Source organism: Homo sapiens, chromosome 10 (assembly GCF_000001405.40).
Source record: "Homo sapiens chromosome 10, GRCh38.p14 Primary Assembly".
In the NCBI taxonomy this organism is placed as follows: Eukaryota; Metazoa; Chordata; class Mammalia; order Primates; family Hominidae; genus Homo; species Homo sapiens.
In genome coordinates this window covers 8,599,660-8,622,557 of record NC_000010.11, presented here as the reverse complement: position 1 = coordinate 8,622,557, position 22,898 = coordinate 8,599,660, and the positions used below count along the sequence as shown (strand labels likewise).

At 37.2% G+C, this 22,898-nt stretch overlaps 1 pseudogene; it reads right to left on the bottom strand.

The window, feature by feature from the left end:
- Window positions 1,749-2,752, bottom strand: CHCHD3P1 (coiled-coil-helix-coiled-coil-helix domain containing 3 pseudogene 1; annotated as a pseudogene).

Below are 22,898 nucleotides of genomic sequence, written 5' to 3'. Positions count from 1 at the left end.
TTCCTATAGAGACTCTTCACTGACATTCTATAATTTCGTTTGTAGCATGTCACAGTCAGATTCAATCTAAGCTTAACAATCTTTTGTTAGTCAACTTGAAACATAACCATTGTTAATTCATTTAATCAATTAGATTCTATTTACAAAATTAAGACCAGTTCTCTGAATAATCACACTGTTTTATCATAACCAATTTGTATGTGTTCAGCTGCCTCTAAACATAGAAGCCAACTGTGGCTTCTTAAAAACCAATGGGCTTTGCGTTTAAATAAATCTTAGTTTAATTTAATCTCTGCCACCCACTCACTGCATAACTTGGAAGATGTTTTTCAGCCTTACTATGTTCAAGTTCCTACATCCATAAAGCCATAAAGTGAGGATGAAAATATGTCTCTTGAATAAGTTCTTGTGAAGATTTAATTGACAAATATTTATTGAATTTTTCTATATGTCAAGCACTAATGACACATAGACCATGCCCTTAAGTAACATGAAGTCTGTCTGGGAAGACTCACAGGAAAGCAGTCAATTCTATTACCCTGTGGTAAGTGCCCTGGAGATGGTGGAGGTGGTGGTGACTAAAGAGCAGAAACATCTTAGAACAAAACCTGAATTGTTCTTGGGGAGAAGAAATGTTCAGGGCAGGTGTTGTGGAGGTGATGACATCTAAAGAAGAAGCTGGTATTTGGAAAGAGGGATGGGACTGGGGGTGTGGTGGGAGGGTGGCTTGTCAACACGGAGAGGACATCAAGAGCAAGTCCGAGAGGCAAGCCAGACACCATATGCCAAAGATTTGCAAGCAGGCAGTCTGACCAGGGAAGAGAGGCGCAGTGAGAGTGTGAGGAGCAGGGAGGAAGAGTTCGACTCCAGACAGTGGACAGGTAGGAAGCCATCAGATCCAGAAGAGCATTTCCTGTGCCAGGATGGGCTAGACTGCTAGACTCATGTCCCAAAGACATGGGCAGGATGGGCTAGACTCATGTCCCAAAGAATGGCATCAGGCAGGAAAATGATCACCCTCAGATTCTCTGCTTAGGAAGATCACTCTAACAAAAGTGAAGATGAGCTGTCAGAGGCGGTATCTGGCACTTAGTGGGTTCCAATGGGGGACAGCTGGCACTGTTTATTAAATCATTTGCCTCCTGTTGATTGGGATAACACAATTGTTCTCTTTAGGGGTTACTTTTTTAAAATTTTTTTTGTCAGAAAATATATTTATTATTGGTAGTGAGTGAAGTAAAGATGTCAGTATTCACGATAGACGTTATATAAGCCAAGGTTGCCTTTATATTGATAAAAATACCTTATTTCACTTCTAATCATACATATTAGTCCTGTAAAAGAGGTACATCATCTCTCCTTTTTGTTTCCTTGCTTGCATGATCACCAAAAGTTAAAATGAAATCACTCTTATGTAATCAAAGGTAAAAAGAAAAAGCAAGAAAACCAACATGCCACGGCCTAGACAATTCCACCCAGCACTGCTGCCCTGAGAGCTATGTTTTCTGGTGCTCTCCTCTCCACACTCCAATTACTTTAGCCCCACACCTCCACCTCACCCCATCACACTTTGTTAGGGTGGAGGTTCACCAAATGATGGGGCTTGCTTAGAAGATAAACATTTTATGTTCAGTAGAATTTGAATAGAAAGTACCAAAAGGTGGAGAGGGCTGCCCTTCTCTTAATCATCGTAAGAGGGGTTTACTAATACTGAAGAGCATCCTTTGATGACTGATCCTGATCTAGGTTTTGGCCGCCCTTCAAATTGCTGCCAATGGAAATGTGGTATGATTCTGTTGGATCCATTGTCCGCTGTCTCTTTTGAGTGGTCTTCTCATTAGTGCTCGTCTCTTTAAATGGGTTATTTTCTTACTAGGAAAAAAAATATTCCCTCTCTGAAATTAACGTTGAAGGTGTTTTGCTTGTTCTAAAAGTTGTTGATACTTTTTTCTCAAGCATGCTCTGTTTGGCATGATTGACGTAGTGCATATACCGGCTGGCCAGAGTGGAGCATTTGAAGGTCTGGTGGGTGTTCTCGTAGTAACACTGAAGAATTTTGGCCTGGAGGTCAGCATAGACTGGATGAGACTCATACACTTGAACCGTGCTTCCACGTCTTCAGCAATTTTCTGATATTGTTCAGTGGTGACTTTGTAGAACTCTGAGCTCCTCTCCTCCAGTCTAGCCAGCTCCACTTTGCAGAATGCAACCTGCTTCTTTAGCACTCGGCCTTTCTCTTCCAGCCGCCTAGCAAGGTGCATTGCCTTAGTGCCTTCCTCTTGGCTTGATACCCTCTCTCGAGGGATGGCTCTGGTTAACTGCCCATTGGCAGCAGCCCTCTCTCTCTCCAGCTCTGTGGCTTGCTTTAGTCGTTTCTGATCTTCAGTTTGTTTCTTGGCTTGTTCCAATGTTAGCTCCTCAGCTACTCTTCTTTTCAATTCTTCATCAGAAACCAAGGCATCATAAGCACCAGAATACCACTGAGACTTTGAACCAGATGGAGAGGATTCCTTCATTCAATCAATCACATTTTCTGAAAGCTCAATGCCCTTCACCACAGTGATGGGTGATGTTCTCATTCTTGTCCACCTCGAAGGTGACCCGATGAGTGCTCAAGGTCCCACCCGTGGCTCCTGTTCCTGCCCCCACAGAGATCTAGTACAGAACCACAAGCACTTCAGTTCCCCCGTGCCCACACTCGCGTGGAGGGGCCTGGATTCTTTTCCCCCAGAGCAGGAGCAAGGCCACGACCTAGGGGATACTCTTCAAGTGAGCTTTGTCTTCCTGAGGCAGTGTGTACATTGTGTAATGCATTGTAAATTATGTTATTGGCATTCTACTCATCCAATTCTGAATAATGTCAGAATTTAACATCTGAGAAACAGCTCATGACCATTGATGTTGCTATAAACACACCTGGGGTTAAGGCACTGTGGGTCTGGTTCCTTGCTAAGTCTATGGTGGTGACGACTGCCTGCAATTCAGATTGGCATTTTAAGTACTCAACTGTTTTTAGGAAGAGGGAAGACAGTTGACTGATCACCATCATTACTCATTATGGTAACCTAAACTTGTCACCTTCCTCCTGCCAGTCACAGGAGTAACACCTGAGGCACAGGCCTGAAGCAGAACAAACCCACACAGACCCAACTCCAGGTGGAAGCCGAGGGCCTAGAAATGCCAAAGTTATTTTCTTGTCTCCTGGTGACGCTACGCAGCTTTGCTTTGCTGTTAATAAAAAATAATTGCTTTTGGTTGTCACTTTTTAAAATTTTAAGACTAAAATTGAATGCCATCTGCCAGAGCTTTGCTTATCGTACAGGAGAGAGGAGCATGGTAAGGTCATTTATTTTTCCTAATGTTCATGAGACATGAGTTTGCAGCATTGAGCATCTTGATCACCAATTAGCTTGAAAACATTCATCGTATTTTACCAATAATCTCTCCAAGAGAGACATGTACTCTGATCCATAGATGAGTCACTGGCCATCTCTAATACACAAACGAGAAAGTCAAATATGAATGCTACCTGTTTCCTTGTGAATCACTCCACAATCAAGTAACTGCCAGTGTGAAAAAACCACAACAGTCGAGATCCTTCCACCCATGACGTAAGATTTATTTGTACAAGTCTGCTTAATTTTTATATTCTATCCATGCCTTAATACTCATGACATTATTTTGAAAGTTCTCATTTTCTTGTCTTTGTTTCTTTTTTCTCTTTTTTTTTCTTACTTTGGTTATCATTTAAAAGTGGCCACATTTATTCAGAGGCATTCTGCAAACGTATATCAAGTGCTTTTTAAAATATTTTAGCACTGTGATAAGTGTTATAAATGTAGCAAATAAATGCAAAATGTTTAATGAAAAAAGATACCTATGCATGTTGAAAAGATCCAAAGAGATGTGAAAAGATCTGTATGTGCTTTTTTTTGCTCATTCTATTATTATTATTATATAGTTGTCTGTGCTGTTTATTAATGAGTACTACTACTAATGATAATATTTATTCAATGCTTCCAGTGTCCTATAAATGTACAAATACCTTACATCTATTATGTTGTTTAATATTCCCAACAAATCTATGAAGTACTGAGTATTATTAGCCACAGTTTACAGATAAGGAAACTACAATGTAAAGAAACGATATGACTTGTTCATGACCACATAATTCCGATGTGGTAGAGCCTCTGATTCACGGACTCCATGTTCGGTTCACTTACCCCTTTTGTGCTGCCACAGTGAATACGAAAATAAATGAAATATATATGCTGACCTCAAGAAAAGAAAATTCCAATTGCAAAGAGAAAACTATACATGCATAAAACACTGAATTGTGATATGAGAAAATATAAGGGCTGCCATTAAGCCACTGCCAGTTGAATAGAGCAGAGTCAATAAAAATTCAAAGGTGGGTACGATTCCACAGACTGGAGAGGCCCAAGAATCTTGATGGCTTTGGAGATTTTGAATTGGTTATACGTGGGTATAAAAGGATGGAGAATCCTGCAGGCCCTGGGAGGAAGAGGGCATACCATGGGAATGTCTATGAAGAGCATTGAGAGAGTGAGTCAGCCAGTTTGGCTGGGGAAAGTGGGAAAGGATTGAGAGACACAGGTCAGTTTGCAAAAGGTCTCTCATGTTAGGGCATTTGCCTTCAGCCAATGGGAAAACCAAATGGACACAGAAAGAGGCTTTCTGATGTCACTGAATGGGCAAGGGTTTCAGAGCCAAAAAGGCATAGACCCAATCCCATACTCTAGGTGTGACCTCAGGCAAATGACTTACTCTCGCGACACTTCAGTTTCTATAAAATAGAAATTAAAATTAAAATATTTACCTTGCAGGGTATTTTGTGGATTAGAGATCATTTGCATGCAGTACATAACACTATGCTTGGCACATAGTAATTTGTCAGTAAATAGCAGCTCTCTCACTCATTTTATTAACACAATTGTCACATTGATTCCATTGTTTAAAATACTTTTGATCTTCTCACTGATAATTTCCCTCAGGCAGAGACTATGTATTCATTGCAAAAGAAAATCTGATTTGTTATTTTTTTAAATGTGAATTTACTTTTTCCTACTATAAATGTACCAAAAATTCATTCATAATCCAAGCACCTTAACATTAGCATTTGGTAGGTTTTCTTTCATTTGCTTTGCAATGGGTATTACACGTTGTTTTAATACCCATGATCATAGTATTTCAATCATCAATACTCATCAATACATATTTCATGTATATCATACATACAAATCAATACATATTTCTTGTCATTAATTTTTATTGATCTATTTATTTCGTTAGATAATATTACAAAGATTGATAATGTACTTTACCAGATTCAATTCCAAATGGGCTTTTTAATTGTTACAAAATGTCAGATTTAACTCAGAAGTTAGAGATTTTTCTTGTGAATGCAAAATAACCCACATATTTAAAAAAATTCCTATAAAGCACAAGTCACTGTTCTAGTCCTCAAAGGGAGTTTCTAGACTAATAAGGTACAGTTCCTGCCTTCACTCTCACAGAGCTTCCTACAGAAGATAAAATAAAGTTATAAATAAAGTTAAAAATAGTATAAAATGATGTCCTAAGGGACCTGAATACAATTTCAAGATGTTTCCAAAGCTGTTATTTCACCATTTTGCACATTATTGAATATCTTGTAGAGCATCCCAAAGTTATCTTAACTGAGGGGGTCATAATTAATTGAGTGTATAAATCCAAGTGGATATGCTAGAAACCTGTTACTTTATTTTATAATCATTCTCCCTCCATCTGGAATGAGAACATATATGCACTTCCCCACACATCCACTTTGCCTGTCATTTCTGGCCATTCCGTGAACATTTTGTAACCTGTGAGAGAAAGAAGGCTTTGAAAAACAGGACCAAGTTCTTTTTTTTTAGGGATATACAATGTTGACAGAAATATACTCCAGAGGAATTTAATGCAGCTTTTTTTGGTTCCGGGCACAGCTCCTTTAGTGCATCAGTAAATGAAAAATGAGCACGGGAAGCTCCTGACAGTAGGAGAGGACCGCAGAGAGCCCTCGCCTCCAAACCAACGACTGGATTCTACTGTACAAACAGAGAAATGTCTGTGAACTCCTCACCTTTGAAAGGTAAACACTGAGAAGGAAATACTCCTCCCACGTGCTTTGAAGCATTCACCTTGTAAAAGGAAAAAGGACTTCTTTAAAGAGTTCTTCATGCAGAGAAAAGAGGAAGTTCTTTGAAGTCCAGGCTAATTTTGGGTCACCATGAAACCAGCCATCCTTCTATCTACAAGTTCCCCTGACCCTTTGGACCGAAACAATAGAAACACAACCAGGTTATTTCATCAGTGTGAACAAAAACTAAAAATAATAATCTCCAGGAAATGTACAAAAACCATAATCCCCAAGAGGCAGCTCTCTTTCACCCTTTTCTCTTCCCTTCTCATTCCTTAGCTAAAAGGTAAGCCATCCATTGGGGACAGAGTAATAAATAGATTTGTATGATAGGAAAGGTATGCCTGTGCCATGTACAGTGGCTCACCCCTGTAATCCCAGCACTTTGGGAGGCCAAGATGGAGGATCACTTGAGCCCAGGAGTTTGAGATCACTCTGGGCAATATAACAAGACCCTGTCTCTACAAAAACTAGGAAAGACAAAAATAGGCCAGGCGCAGTGGCTCACGCCTGTAATCCCAGCACTTTGGGAGGCTAAGGCAGGCTGATCATGAAGTCAGGAGTTTGAGACCAGCCTGACCAACATGGTGAAACCGCATCTCTACTAAAAACACGAAAATTAGCTGGATGTGGTGACATGTGCCTGTAATTCCAGCTACTTGGGAGGCTGAGGCGGGAGAATCACTTGAACCCAGGAGGTGGAGGTTGCAGTGAGCTGAGATCGTGCCACTGCACTCCAGCCTGGGCAACAGAGCCAGACTCCATCTCAAAAATAAATAAATAAATAAAAAAGATATATCTTCGTCAATGTAAGAGATCCAGATAATGTAACATCTCTTTGTTTTTGATTAATTCAGTACTCACAGCCAGGATCCAAGCTTTAAGTAGCCCTCTGATTTAACTTCAAATAATAAATTAAATAGCTATATTGAAGGCTCTCTGGGAAGAGCTCCAGGGAGACAACTGCGAATTTCTCAGAAGAATGGGCCACTTGGAATGTCCTGCTGATTCCTCGATTTCTCTGATTGGTGCACCAGACCCCAGCCCAATAGCTTCTGAGCTAATTCAATCCCTGCTGTTCTATCTCCTGCAGAGATGCTGAGCTACAATACTGTTACATTCTTCTGCGTAGTTGCAGCAAGGAGGAAAGGACCTTAGGCCATCTCCATGGCCAATGAATAGGTGTAGGTTATTTGCACCAGGAACTTTGAAATCGAAGTTTTGGAGGAATATAAAAGTTAAACATTTTTATTTTGTGACATCTAGTTATGCAATTGCCATGCTTGCTAGAAAGGATACATTTATTGTGACAAATAGGGTATCGGTGTGGCTCCCTCCCCTGCTTTTCTATGTCTATGGCAAAACCATTTGGTCAGGCTGGCATGGAGCTACCGAGGACAAGGTCGTGGAACTGTTTGCCATGTGGGCCCCCAGCTGTGACTCCCGCCGAATGACTGGCAATACCCAGCATACCCCATAAGTCACGGCTAGGAAGCTCTCAGTGCACAGAAATCTGGGCAAATAGAATTGAAAACTGGCATGATTTTTATCAGTTTGTAGAGACTTAGGCTGTATAGTCCATGATAAGTTAATATCTCTTTCTAAAAAAAAAATACCAAATGCTATATATAAATAATTAATTAGCTACTTCATAGGTTGCCTCATGCTTGAGAACTTGAAAGAAAAATTCTCAAAACTTTCTTCAATGTTTAGCATGGTTTCAAATTATGTAGGTCATCTTCCCTATATTCTAAATCTAGGAAAAACACTCTGAATATACACAATATAGTTATAGGACAAATAAAAGTACACACTTTAGGTAGCAGATAGGGAGGGTGTATACAGATCATTCCATCTCAAGATGCGGTTCAGATTGTAGAAAGGTTCAAGTAGAGTTAAACAAATTCAACAAACATTTTGTTCTTGATTAAATGCCAGACACTTATCTCTGCCTTTGTGGAAATTACAGGGGAGGAGTTCGGATGAAAATATACATATCGAGTCACAAAGGCTGCCAAAAGGTAAGTACGGAGTACTCCGTGGATGTTTTCTGAGTCTTTAAGGATAACAGAAAGGGATTTGATTATAAGGCAGTTGCTCAGAACACTTCCCCTTTGAGGAATGCCAGCTAACCACAGCAATGACTTAGTCCTGTATGACATTCTCATTTGTCTGTCTTAATCTCTTACATCTAATTTTATTTTTGCTGTTGTGAATTTGAAATCTTGATTTCACATATTTATTTGACGTTTTATATCATTTTCACCCCATAACATCTATTGGAGATAGGTATTTTTACCCAGATTTTACAACTTAGGAATCTGGTTTCATAATTTTCTCTCAGTAAAGTAACTAAAAATGAGTAGAACCAAAACCTGAGCCTGGTTAGTCAGAATCTAAGTCCTGTCAATTCTCCTGTATATCATACCAGTCACTGTATAGGCATTCCCAAAATGACAAATAGATCATATTCACATATTTTATTTTGAAATCTGAATTTAATCCCTACAGAAGTCACTTTTAAATGACGGTTGAGTTCCTGACTAGTTTAGGAAGGGTGATTTAACCCATAATGTAAAGGAATTACTGTAGACTTGTTAGACAGAACTCTGGAATAGGGGAACAAGAGATTTGTGATGACAGCCGTTCAAACAACCAGAGGCATTTGCCTTTTTACAAAAGGTGATTAGCGTGCAGAATGAAGCTATAATTGGTGAAATTGCACATTATATTTCAGAAGGAAGTAGAAAGAAACAGCCAGTGTAGGGAGAAGATCCTTTAGGATGAGAAGTCAGCCTTACCTAGAAATCTACCACTGAGGTCACTTCCACCTGAGACACTTTTGATTTTCATAGCTTCTTTTCTCCCTCCACCTAAAAAAAAAAAAAAAAAAAAAAAAAAGTGAAAAATAATGCATGTATAATAAAGTATACAACATATCAATATAGAATTCAGTGAATTACCATAAACTGAAAACCAGTGTAAACACCTCAGTGTTCAAGAAATAAAACAGTGGTGGTGATCTACAGTACTCCCTTTCTGCTGCATCTCACTCGAAATTCCTGCTGACCTGTACTGGAAAAAATACTCTGCCTACTTTTGTAGTATTCATTCCCTCGATCTTCTTTATAGCTTCACTACCTATGCATATATCCCTAAATTCTTTAATAAAGTTTTGCCTATTTGTTAAATTTTCTATAAATAGGATCACACAATAAGCATTTTTAAAAGTCTAGCTTCTTTCCCTCAACGTTGTTTGTGACATTCAACTATGTTGTTGAGCAGAGCGTTAATTCATTTATTTTCATAACAATATAAATGTCACTGGACAAGCACATCTACTATCATGTTGATGGTTTGGGGGTCATTTTCAGTTTTGGACAAGGAAAAATAATCCTGAAGTGATCATTCTTGTTTATGACAGTCACACATTTTCCTTGGGTATACACCAAGAAATGGAATTGCAGATCACAATGCTTGATTTAAATGCTTAATTTAAATTACTATACTATAACGAATTTACATTGATTAATGTAAATGTTTAATTTAAATAGATGAGGCCAAAATGCTTTTCAGTGTGCTTGTACCAATTTTTACTCCCACAAGCAAAGTGTTAGAGAGTTAATTCCAGTGTTTCTATCATTGGCAACAGTTGGTACTTGCTGTTTTCACTACAGCTATTCTGGTGAAAGAGTAGTGTTATATCACTGTGGTTTTAAACAGGATTTCCCTGGTTCCTAATAATATTATAAAATGGATAAGTTTACTGCCCAGTTGGGTAGCCTCATTATAAAAGTGCCAATTAAAGCTTCTTAGCTATTGGATCCTGTGTCTTTTACATTCCTGATTTTTTGGAGCTCATTATATTTTGGATATTTGTCAGTTACATGTGCTGCAAAATCTTTCTGCTCTGTGGCTTGCATGTTTACTTTCTTGTGTCTTTCAATGAGCAGAAGTTTTTACGTTTAATGTAACCTGAATTCTCAATCTTTTCCTTTATTGACAATAATTTTCATATAGTTTAAGAAATCTCTATATAACATAAAAATATTTTTCATGTATGATCTTCCAGAATTTATAGCTTAATACAATCCACCTGCCATCAATATTTGCATATGGTGAAAGATTGGGGTCAATTGTGATTTTTTTTATTGACACAGTATCATTTATCAAAAAGACCGCCACTGCTCTACTACTCAACGTTGTCAAGAACAAGTGTCCAAATACTCATACGTTTATTTCTGAGCTCTCTATTCTGTTCCAACGGTATAGCCTTTATATGGTTTGGCTGTGTCCCCAGGCAAATCTCATCTTGGATTGTAGCTCCCATAATTCCCGCGTATTGTGGGAAGGACCCAGTGGGAGTTAATTGAATCATGGGGGCAGGTCTTTCCCATGCTGTTCTTGCAATAGTGAATAAGTCTCATGAGATCTGATGGTCTTAAAAATGGGAATTTTCCTGCACAAGCTCTCTCTCTTTGCCTGTTGCCATCCATGTAAGATGTGACTTGCTCCTCCTTGCCTTCCACCATGACTGTGAGGCCTCCCCAGCTACATGGAACTATAAGTCCATTAAACCTCTTTCTTTTGTAAATTGCCCAGTCTCAGGTATGTCTTTATTAGCAGCATGAAAACAAACTAATACAAGCCTTGTGACAATACTTGACTGTCTTAGCTACTGTGTCTTTACAAATATGTCTTGATATTTACTAGAGCAAATCCTCCCATCTGGCACTTCTTCAGATAGTTCAATTTTTGATCTTTCTTTTATTTTTACAATTCATTTAGAATCTCTCTCTCGCTCTCTCACACACACACACACACACTCACACACACACACTCATAAACACAGAGTTTGTGGTTTGATTAAAATTGGAGACAGTTGACATTTTTGACATCTTTTGATGATATGTCCCAGTATGTATTAGATCTTTAATTTTTCTCAATAGATTTTTTAAAGTTTCCAGCAAGAACTTTCACATATTTGGTCAAACTTACTTTGATATATTTCATGTTATTTAATGCTATTGTAAACTTTATATTTTTAAAATTTTATATTCCATTTCTCATATATTGACTTTTAACAGCTTTATTAAAGTGTATTTTACATAAAGTACACATATTTAAAATGTATACCTATACGTTTTAAATATACGCATATTTAAAATGTATATTTAAAATGTATAAAATTTGATAAGTATTGACATACGTATACACCCAAGAGACCATCACAAAATCAAGATAGTGAACACATCCATCACACCCAAAAGTTTCCTTGTGACCTTTTGTAACCCTCCAACCTTTCCCCATGACCCTCTGCCCCCAGTCAAGTACTGAACTGCTTTTTGAACTACAGATTAGTTTTCATTTTCTAGAATTCTATTATTAATGGAGTCATACAGTATGTACATTTTTGTCTGACTTCTTTCACTCGCCATCATTATTTTGAGATTCTTCCATGTTGTTGCATGTGTTAAAGATTATTCATTTTGTCATTAAGGGGTATTCTGTTGTCTGGATATATCACAATTTCACTATCCATTAACTGTTGATATGCATTTGAGTTGTTTCCAGTTTGAGAGTATTACAGATAAAGCTGCTATGAACATTTGTGGACAGTCTTTGTTTGGACATATGATTTAATTTTTTCATGTATAAACACCTATAAGTGGAATGGCTAGAGTACATGGTAGGTATATGTTTAACTTTTTAAAAAAAATCATCATACTGTTTTTGCATATTAGTATCATTTTGTATTTCCACAAGCAGTGCATGGGAGTTTTCATTGATTCAAGTTCATCCCCTGTCTTTTCTTTTATTTATTTATTTTTAAGACAGTGTCTCTCTGTCATCCAGGCTGGAGTACAGTGGTATAATCACAGCTCACTGCAGCCTCAACCTCCCAGGCCCAAGTGATCCTCCTACTTCAGTCTCCTGAGTAGTTGGGACCACAGGCGTGCACCACCACACCTAACTAGGAATCTCTATATCTAGGGATGGTCCTCAAGCTCCTGGGCTCAAGCAATTCTCCTGCCTCAGCTTTGAGTTTGCTGGGATTACAGGCATGAGCTACTGTTCCTAGCCAATTTTAGATACTGTAATAGGTCTAGTCAGCGGAATTGTATCTATTAATAATTGCAGCTTTAATTTGCAATTCCCTAATAATTAATAATGTGGAGCATCCTTTCCTTTTTCTTATTTCCCATCTGTATATCTTCTTTGGTGAAATAGCTGTTCAAGTCATTTGCCTATTTTGTTTTATTGGATGTTTTAGTTTCTTATTGTTGAATTTTGATAGTTTTTTATATATGCTAAATATAAGTCTTTTATCAGAAATATGATTTGAAAAATCCCTTTTTCCAATCTGTGGCTTGTTTTTTCTTTTTTTAAATTTTTTAAAATTATACTTTAAGTTCTGGAATACATGTGCAGAATGTGCAGATTTGTTACATAGGTATACACGTGTCACAGTGGTTTGCTGCACCCATCAACCCATCGTCTACATTAGGTATTTCTCCTAATTCTATCCCTCCCCCACCCCCCATCCCCTGACAGGCCCTGGTGTGTGATGTTCCCCTCCCTGTGTCCATGTGTTCCCATTGTTCAACTCCCACTTATGAGTGAGAACATGTGGTGTTTGGTTTTCTGTTTTTGTGTTAGTTTGCTGAGAATGATGGTTTCCAGCTTCATCCATGTCCATGCAAAGGATATGAACTCATCCTTTTTTATGGCTGCATAGTATTCCCTGGTGTATATGTGCCACATTTTCTTTATCCAGTCTATCATTGATAGGTATCTGGGTTGGTTCCAAGTCTTTGCTATTGTGAACAGTGCCTCAATAAACATAAGTGTGCATGTGTCTTTATAGTAGAATGATTTATAATCCTTTGGGTATATAACCAGTAATGGAACTGCTGGGTCAAATGGCATTTCTGATTCTAGATCCTTGATAGTTTATGGTTTATTTTTTTTTTAATATATCATGCTGTTGGCATTGTAGCTAATACATTTTGTCTAACCCTAGGTGCTATGGACTGAATTGTGTCTCTCCCCAAACCCCACCAAATTTATGTGCTGAAACTCTAACTCCAAATGTGACTATATTTGCAGGTAATTAAGGTTAAATGAGGTCATACAGGTGGCATCCTGATCCAATAAAAGTAGTGCCCTTATAAGACCAGTCACCGGAGTCCTCTCTGTTTCTCTCTCTACCAAAGTAATGCCTTTCCCTTTTCTTGCCTATTGCATTGACTAGAACCTCCATTACGATGTTGAATCAAAATGTTAAGAATGGAAGTCTTTGCCTTGCTTAATCTTTGGGGGAAACAAAATCAGTGTTTTACCACTAAGCATGATGTTGTCCATAGGATTTTTAAAGGTGAAGATTTTTTAACCACAAATTCAATTTATTTAACCAATAAAGGCATATAGAGATTATATATCTGTTTATTAGTGAGCTTTGGTAGTTTATGTCTTGTAAGGATTTGTTTCTTTCATCGAAGAGGTCAAAATTAATGACTTAAGATGTTTCATAAGGTCTTCTTATTTTTCTTTTAATATACGTAGAACCTAAAGAGATGTCATTTTTCTTATTCATTATATGGATATTTTGTGTCTTCTCTTTTTATTTCCTAATCAGTACAAATAGAGGTTTATGTAAGTGTTATTAATCTTCTCAAAGGACCAGCATTTGGTTTTATTTATTTTTCTCTGCTGCTTTTTTTCCTATTTTTTTTTTGTTTCATTGATTTATTTCTGATTTTGAGCTTACTTTAAGTTTTATTTCCTTTTCCTTTTCTAGTTTCTTAATTTAGAAGCTAAGGTCACTGATCTGTGATCTTTCCTCTTTTCTAATGTGTTGCTCAATGCTATAAATTTCCCTCTAAATTACGCTTTGGTGGCATCCCACAAATTTTTATATCTTGCGTTGTCATTTTAATTAAAGTAAAGGTTTCTTCTATTTCTTTTTTGATTTTCTGTTTGACCCAAGAGTAATTTAGGAGTGTATTCTTTGGTTTCTTAGTACTTGAGAATTTTCCAAGGATCTTTCTGTTCATTTTTAGTTTCAATGCTGTCAGAAAATATAATTTGTATGACTGCAATCCTTGTACATTTTTAAAAGTGTGTTTATTTCCAGCATATGATCTTTTCAGTAAATATGTTCTAGGCCCCTTGAAAAAACAATGTGTATTCTCTTGTTATTTGGTGGAGTTTTCTGAAACTGTCACTAGGTTGATTCATTGACTGTAGAAATATAGTTGACTTTATATAAATATAAAGTAGATTGGTTGACTGTGAAAGTGGATTCTTAGTACTGTTAAAGCCTTCAATTTTACTCATTTTTTCCACTTATTCTATCAATAATTGATATATCTGACTAAAATTTATGAACTTATCTATTTATTTTTGCAGGTTTATTTATTTGTACTTTATATAGTTTGAAGTGGTTTCAACAGGTTCAAAAAATGTTTATAATGTTATATCTTCATAAATTGATCCTTATGTCATTATAAAATTATTCTTTAAGTCTTTAGTCTTTATTCTGGATTTTGTTCTTTCTGATATTAACATAATCATTTTCATTTTCTTCTGACTAATGTTAATGTTGAATTTTTTTCCATTACTTTACTTTTAGCTTATTTGTGTTTTTATGTTAAAAGTTGGCTTCACATAGGCAGAATACAGTTGAGTCTCGATTTTTAAAATCTTACTTAATAGTCACTGCCTTTTAATTGGGGTATTTATAACATTTACATGTCATGTGGTTATTGCTATGGGAAGATTAAGTCTCCTGTTTTTTAATTTGTTTTCTACTTGTATCATCTATTCTTTGTTTTCCTTTTTCTTTTGTTTTTATTTTGCCTTTTTTTGTTTTTTGGGTTTTGTTTTTCAGACGGAGTCTTGCTTTGTCGCCCAGGCTGGAGTGCAACGATGTGAATTTGGCTCACTGCAACCTCCACCTCCCAGGTTCAAGCGATTCTCCTGACTGAGCCTCCCAAGTAGCTGGGATTACAGGCATGCACCACCATGCCCGGCTAATTTTTTTTTTTTTTTTTTTTTCTGGAGTCGGAATCGCCCAGGCTGGAGTGCAGTGACTTGATCACAGCTCTCCTCAAATTCTCGGGTTTAAGTTATCCTCCCACCTCAGCCTCCCAAGTAGTTTGAATTACAGGCACATGCCACCACCCAGCTAATTTTTTATTTTTTTGTTGAGATGGAGTCTTGCTATGTAGCTCAGGCTAGTCTTGAACTCCTGACCTCAAATGGTCTTCCTGCCTCAGCTTCCCAAAGTTCTGGGATTACAGGTGTGAGTCACTATGCTCAGCCTGCCTTCTTTTAGATTGAATACTTTTAATTATTCAATTTTATTATCTTTCTTGACTAATTGGCTACAACTCTTTGATGTTTTGTTTTTGTGATTGCACTACAATGTATAGCATGGCTCTTTAGCTTATCACAGTCTAAATTCAAGTAATACTATACTGCTGCCTTTAAAATACAAGAACATTACAAGTGTCCTCTTACTCGTTTCTTTGTACCATTTTTACTGTTGTTGCCATTTGTTTTACTTCTACATATGCTATCAATCATACAACACATTTTTATTTCTTCCTTGATCAATTATATCTTAAAGACATTAAAATAACAGGAAAATATTTTTAAATTTATCCTCATAGTTAACATTTCTGGTGTTTATTATTTGTGTGTGTTTGTGAGATACAGATCCAGATTTTTGACTGGTATCATTTTCCTTTTGCTTGAAGGATTACTTTTAGCATTCACCATAGTACAGATCTGATAGTAATAAAGTCTTACAGATTTTCTATGTCTGGAAGAAAACTTAATTTTGCCTTTGTTTTTGACGTATAATTTGGCTGAACATGGAATTCTAAAATGGCAGATTTTTATTAATTTGAAGTTGTTGCTCCACTGTCTTCTCACTTGGATTGTTTCTAAGCAGAAATTTGTCATCATTCTTATCACAGATTCTCTGTAATTATATTTTTTTCCTCTGGTCACTTTTAAGATTTTCTTTTTACCAGTGGTTTCCAGCAACTTGAATGTGATGTGATTAGGGGTTGTTTTCTTAATGTTTCTCATAATTAGGATTTCTTACACTTCTTAAGTTTCTGGGTTTATAGTTTTTATCAAATTAGAAAAATTTTCTACTTTTATATTTCAAATAGTTTTCCCCCACTCTCTTCCTCTTCATAAGAGACTCTGATTGCATGTATATTAGCATATTTTAACTGTCCCACTGACTATTGATCCTTTATGCTTTCTTTTTCAGCTTTGTCTCTGTGTTTTCTTTTTGATCATTTCCATTGCTGTGTTTTCAAGTTTACCAAGATATACTGTCTTTTACACATCTTCTGTTGGTTACATTAAACATTCTACTATGCGTGGTTGACTTATCAAAGTCTGACATAATTGATATTGTTACAATTCTTTCTAGACAATGCAATGACCTGAAAACCTTTTAACTTTATCACCTCCCCAACTTACATGACATTGTTGTCATGTATTTGATTTCTACATACATTTTAATACTCATGAGACAGAACTATCATTTCAGTCAGCCAATGTTGAATATATACTCCCATTGACTACCTTGTTTTCTCTGTTTCTTTCTTAATTTCTGACCTCACTGTAGAGTCAATTTCCATCTAATTAGAGAAAAATGTTTAGTATTTTCATTACTGCTGGTCAACAAATAATGAATTATTATCATTTTTGTCTTAAAATATATTTCATTCCTAAAGGATACTTTCACTAGGTATAAAAGTCTGGATTGTCAGGGGTTTTTGCAGCAATTTAAATATATTATTCTATTGTCTTCTGGCTTTCTTTTCTATTGAGAATTCAGTCATTAGCCCATTATTACTCCTTTGAAAGCAGTATGCCTTTTTCCCCCCTTCTGGCTTCTGGTGGTAAGATTTTTTATAATATACTTAAGTGTGGTTTTCTTTTTAGTTATACTGCTTGGAGTTCATAGGGCTTCTTGATTCATAATCTTTTTAATCTTTTTTTTTAGCTGCATCTTATCTTCTATTTAACCTGAATCTAATTTGCTATTAAAACCGTGTATACGCATTTTCAATTACTTTATTTCAATTCCAGAATTTTCATGTGAGTTCTTGTTAGACTTTCTAGTTCGCTAATAAAGTTATTAATTATCTTTTATCTTCCTGAATATAGAACATAGGGGAGCTCCTTTGTTGTTTATGTTTGAATATTCCAGTATCTGGGGATCCTACAGGTCTTTTTCTGTTATTGGATCTTTCTGCAAGTTTTCCTTCATATTGTCTTGCTTCCTAATATTATGATTATTCTAGACAAAATTTAAGACCAAGATCTATTTTATCTTCCTTCAGAAAGGTTCTATATTTCTTGAGTGTGCAAGATACCTGGAAGCGCTAATACTGCAGGAAACCCTTACTCTAATATTAAGTGTTGCAATGGTCCAAAGCTGAGCTTCCCTAGTTGTAAGGCCTACTGTTTGTTTATTCATATTCTTAGGACACAACCCTCAGAGTCTCAACTAAAGTAAGCATGGTTCACCCATACCTATAGCTTGAGCGAGTCCTGCTAATCAATACCTGTTGCCTTGGCCCTGAAAGATTGTCAAAAGTGCCACTCAATCTCTCCATACTTGGAAGGGAAGAGAAAAAAACATCAGGGTTAAAGGAAAACCCCCAAATATTCTAGTTATTGCCCTAAACATTCATCTTCCTCAAGATCCTGGTCTAGTAATTTATCTCTAATTTGTCATCTCTTCAATATATTCAAATAGACTTTTTAGAATATTTTTCCAGCTAGTCTAATTTTTCTCAGCCAGGGGGTTGGTTTGAGCTGTTTAATGTGTCATTTTCAAAAAAAAAAGAAGTAACATTTTTTTCACTTGCCTTCAGTTTTAAAATCATTGCTACGGCAATGAGGACTAAGAATATTGGCAAACAAAGTTTGTGGCTGGTAGTGAACAATCGTTGGAATATGGGGTCATTTATAATTTGAGTGTATGTTGTTTTGATTCTACCCAAGTGATTAAACCCAGAGATGTTTCTTACTTCGTCATTAATTTAATTAACATAGATAAACCCAACCTCAAAGATTGGTCTCTCTGAACTCCCAGAAACTCTTCTCTGAAAGACTTATTTGGCCTTTAGCCGAAATACTTATATTGCAATTCAATTGTTTTATGTCTGTAAGTTCTCACTCCTTGAGTAGTTTGCAAGGCACTTTGGGGTTAAGAATATATCCTAAATTTCTTTATATCTTCTGATCCTTAAGATAATCTATCTCATTAAAAGGATAGGTACTAAACAAAAAATTCACTGAATGAGGTTTGAATACATACCTCCAATGCATTCAAGACGAAGCCCAAGCTTATTTTGTTGGCATTGAAGATCTTCATGAGCAGCCGCTGCCATATTCTCCAGCTCTATTACAGGCCTGCCTACCCCGTGTCTGACATAAGAAGTCTCCCTCTAGTCCTGCTGAACTGCCATGCTGTCCCCTAACCCATGTCACTCTCATAGCTATACCTTTGTTGATGCTGTTCTCTCTGCTTGAAATGCCTTACTTTCTGTCCTGCGCTCTGTCTCCATCACTTTCCATATCTGGCTTCTGCTAACTTGCACTTAGCCATGAAAACTCAGTTTAGACATCACCTCCTCTAGGAAGCCTTCCCTGATGTACTCAAGATTGGGGTAAATACCTGTTCTAGGTGTTCCATCTTACTCACCCCATTACAGTCCTTTCAACACTGTATCATAGTCATCTCTTTAATTTGTATGTCTCGCACACTTAACTATTAGTTTCGCAAGAGACTTATTAATTCATTGTTTATCTGATCATTGTTTTCCCAGCTCCTAGGTCCTCAATAAATGTTGACTAAGTGACTAAATAGAGGGGTAGAGGAAATGAATGAAAACAGGCTAAAATAAGTCAATTTTTGAAAATTAATCAAATAACAGATTATAAAAATTTGCAAATGAATTTTTTGGAACATAGCATCAGACCTCAAACAATTATAATAAAGAAATAAAAAAGTCATGCACATCAGGGAAAATCCTTAAAGAAGAGGAAAAAAAGTAAATACAATGTCAATCTTTAAAAGAAAGGAAAAGAAATATTGGTCAGCCTAAAACACAGTGCCAGGGAAGTTACGAAGATAAATCATCAAAATGATCAATTTGCAATCACCCAGAAGAACATAACAGACTGGGTAGCAACCAACATGGCTTTTAGAGGAACAAATCATGCCAGACCAATTTAATTTCCTTCTATGATAGAGTGACAGGCCTTGTAGATAAAAAGGATGCAATAGATGTAATCTCTCTAGACTTCTGTAAGCCTTTGATTCTGTCCTACCTGACATTCTCATCAACAAACTGGGGAGATCTAATCTAAACCACACAACTATTCAGGGGATGCACAGCCAACCAGACAGAGGCATCCAGAGAGCACTTGTCAATGGCTTAGCATTTACCCAGGAGAACATTACTGGGAATAGCCTTGTCATGGTGCCTAGGATCAATTGACTCTTTTACAGCCAAATGAAAGGTTAAAGTATAAATAGAGATGTGTATATAATAAACGATATGTTTACACAGCAACATCTGCAAATTTATTTGAAGTTCGAGTAGTGTTTCTGCATAGAACTACTTGGCATACAACAAATGGATCAGTAAACAAATATGTGCTTTGAGAGTGACTTATGTTCATACTGAAGAGATTGTTTTACCTAAAAATTGCAGCCCTAAGTCCATAATAGTACCCTGGGAAGCACTGTAACACCACCACCAGCAGCTCTGCCTATACTGTTTTCTTGAGTGAAGTCTCTGCTAATCAATACTCTGATATCTCCTTCTATCATGTTTGTTCTGCATCATGTGGATTGCTGTTCCATCTTCTGCCGTCCTCTTCCCAGCATCCTCCACTGTCCAAATGATAATTTCAGCCTGACTTCCCCCTTCCCATTCTATCTCACAGTATCTACCTTCGCCCATAACATCTGACCATCCATTCTTACCCATGTTTTCTTCCCCTGCTCAATATCCTGTAGGTACGGGTAGATGAGATAGAATGAAGGGAAACTCAAGCTAATAAAAAAGTTAATAAAATTTAGAGATGAGATAGACCAGAGACCATCAGGGTTACACAGGATTTTTTTTTTTTTTTTGAGACAGAGTCTCACTCTGTTGCCCAGGCTGGAGTGCAGTGGCACAGTCTCAGCTCAATACAACCTCTGCCTCTCCGGTTCAAGTGATTCAAGTGATTCTCCTGCCTCAGCCTCCCGAGTAGCTGGGATTACCGGCATGCACCACCACACCCAGCTAATTTTTGTATTTTTAGTAGAGATGGGGTTTCACCATGTTGGCCAGGCTGGTCTCGAACTCCTGACCTCAGGTGATCCACCTGCCTTGGCCTCCCAAAGTGCTGGGATTACAGGCGTGAGCCACTGCGCCCGGCTGGGGTTATTATTATTTTTTTAATTAAAAAGTAAACTTTAATGTCGAAAATTCAAACTTGGAGAGGGCAGAAAGATCACACACAAGGCTGTCACTTCACACTTGGAGAGTTGCACAGCCACTACTTTCAATGGCAAAAACTGCAATTACTTTTGCACCAACCTAATACAAGAAGCATGACGCCAGCATCTGATTGGCTTTTGGGAGGGCCTCAGACTGCTTCTGCTCAGGGCAGAAAGTAGAAGAGGAGTGGGCATGTACAGAGATGACATCTCAAGAGAGAGAAACTGAGGAAGCCAGACTCTTTAACAACGTGCTCTCAAAAACTAATCCATTCTCAGGGAAGGGAGAACTCACCCCAAAGGAGAGCACTAATTTATTCACGAGGATCCTGTCCCCATGACCTCCCTCTAGGCCACACCTCCCAACACTGCCACATTGGGAAACAAATTTCAACATCAGTTTTGGCAGAGACACCACATCCAAGCCATAGTGCACAGTGAAATAAAGCAGTATTCGGCTGTTAGATGATACTGTTATTATCACTACTGTACAGAGATGACTTCCCTTTAGGGGTCATAAAAGGCCTCAGAGAAGCTGTACTGCTGCGATTTTATGATTTTGTGTAACTCGTGGACTAAAGATAAAGCAAGGGCTGCTCTGCCCTCTGGGGAAAGAATCTTAACTCTAAAAGGGCCAATTAGATTAAACATCCTTTCTTGAAAGAATAAACTAACAACTAAATGGAATTTGTATTTTGTAAAGAAAAGCAAGTTAGGTTTTGCTTAAGATGAACTTAGAATCCATTTCCAGGTCTTTTTCTTCATAGAAACCATTAAGCTAGACTCTAGAAGTAAATATAACAGGTGGTAATAGTGTATATGAGGTAAAATAGAGAATTGTGGTTTTATTGAGAAAATACAAGCCAGAAATAGTTCTAAAGCACTTCTTCATTCTAGACATCTAATCAATATTTCAGATGGTAGAATGACAGAAAAAAATCCTTTCATATCTTCAATTTGTTTTGTATATGTAGATTATAACAGGTGATCATAATAATACCTATCATAGTCTTACTGATTTCTAAGTTGCAAAGTTTCATCCACATACTTTATCTCCTTGGATTCATACTATTTCTGAAAAATAAATAGAAAACATTATTCTCATTTTGCAGGTGAGGATAGTGGGATAATAGATACAAAGTCACATAATTGAATACTGGTTGAACTTGTACCCAAACCAAGACCTTTGATTTCTAGGAGATGATTATTTATTATAATTTTTATACAGCTGTTGGTATATTTTGAATACATACTCTCCATCAAGGTTGTGAGTATCACTCTCATGAGGCTGTTTGCAAATTCTAAAAGTTCATTTGTAATGAATTTGATATGTATTTGTACTTAATAAAATAAATTTGAGGGTGTGGAAACAGTGGTTTTCTGCCATTCAATTAGATGACTCAACCAGCCCGTTGCGAGTGAATTCTGAGCAAATGAGGTCTTGAGATGACAAAAGGATGAGTCAAAGATGGAGGCTGAAAAGGTGTCTGCAAAGTCCAGGACCTGAAATTATCAGCTATGAATTAACGTGCTTTGGAGGAAGAGTTATAGTTCATGTTGTAAATATGCTGATGCTTTTATTCTAAGTATATTTCAAGCAATTCACTTGAATTCAATGAGGAAGCCAGGACACAGAGAGTGATATGGTTTGGCTGTGTCCCCACCCAAATCTCATCTTGAATTATAACTCCCATAATTCCCACATGTCATGGGAGGGACCTGGTGGGAGGTAATTGAATCATGGGGACGGGTCTTTCCTGTGCTGTTCTCCTGATAGTGAATAAGTCTTATGAGATCTGATGGTTTTATAAAGCGCAGTTCTCCTGCACATGCCCTCTTGCCTGTGTCATGTAAGATGTTCCTTTTCTCTTCCTTTGTCTTCCACCATGATGGTGAGGTATCCCCAGCCTCGCAGTGGAACTGTGAGTTCATTTAACCCCTTTCCTTTGTAAATTACCCAGTCTTGGGTATGTCTTTATTACCAGCATGAGAATGGACTAATACAGGGGGTTAGGTTGCCCATAGCCTCCCAGCTAGTAAATGGATGAACCAGGATTCCAACCCTGGCTGAAGAACCCAGGCCCTTAAAACGGTTTCAACAATAATACCAACCTCACAAAGTTTCTATAAACATCAAAATGAGTTGATAGATGTAAAATGCCCAGCACTGTACCTGGCACA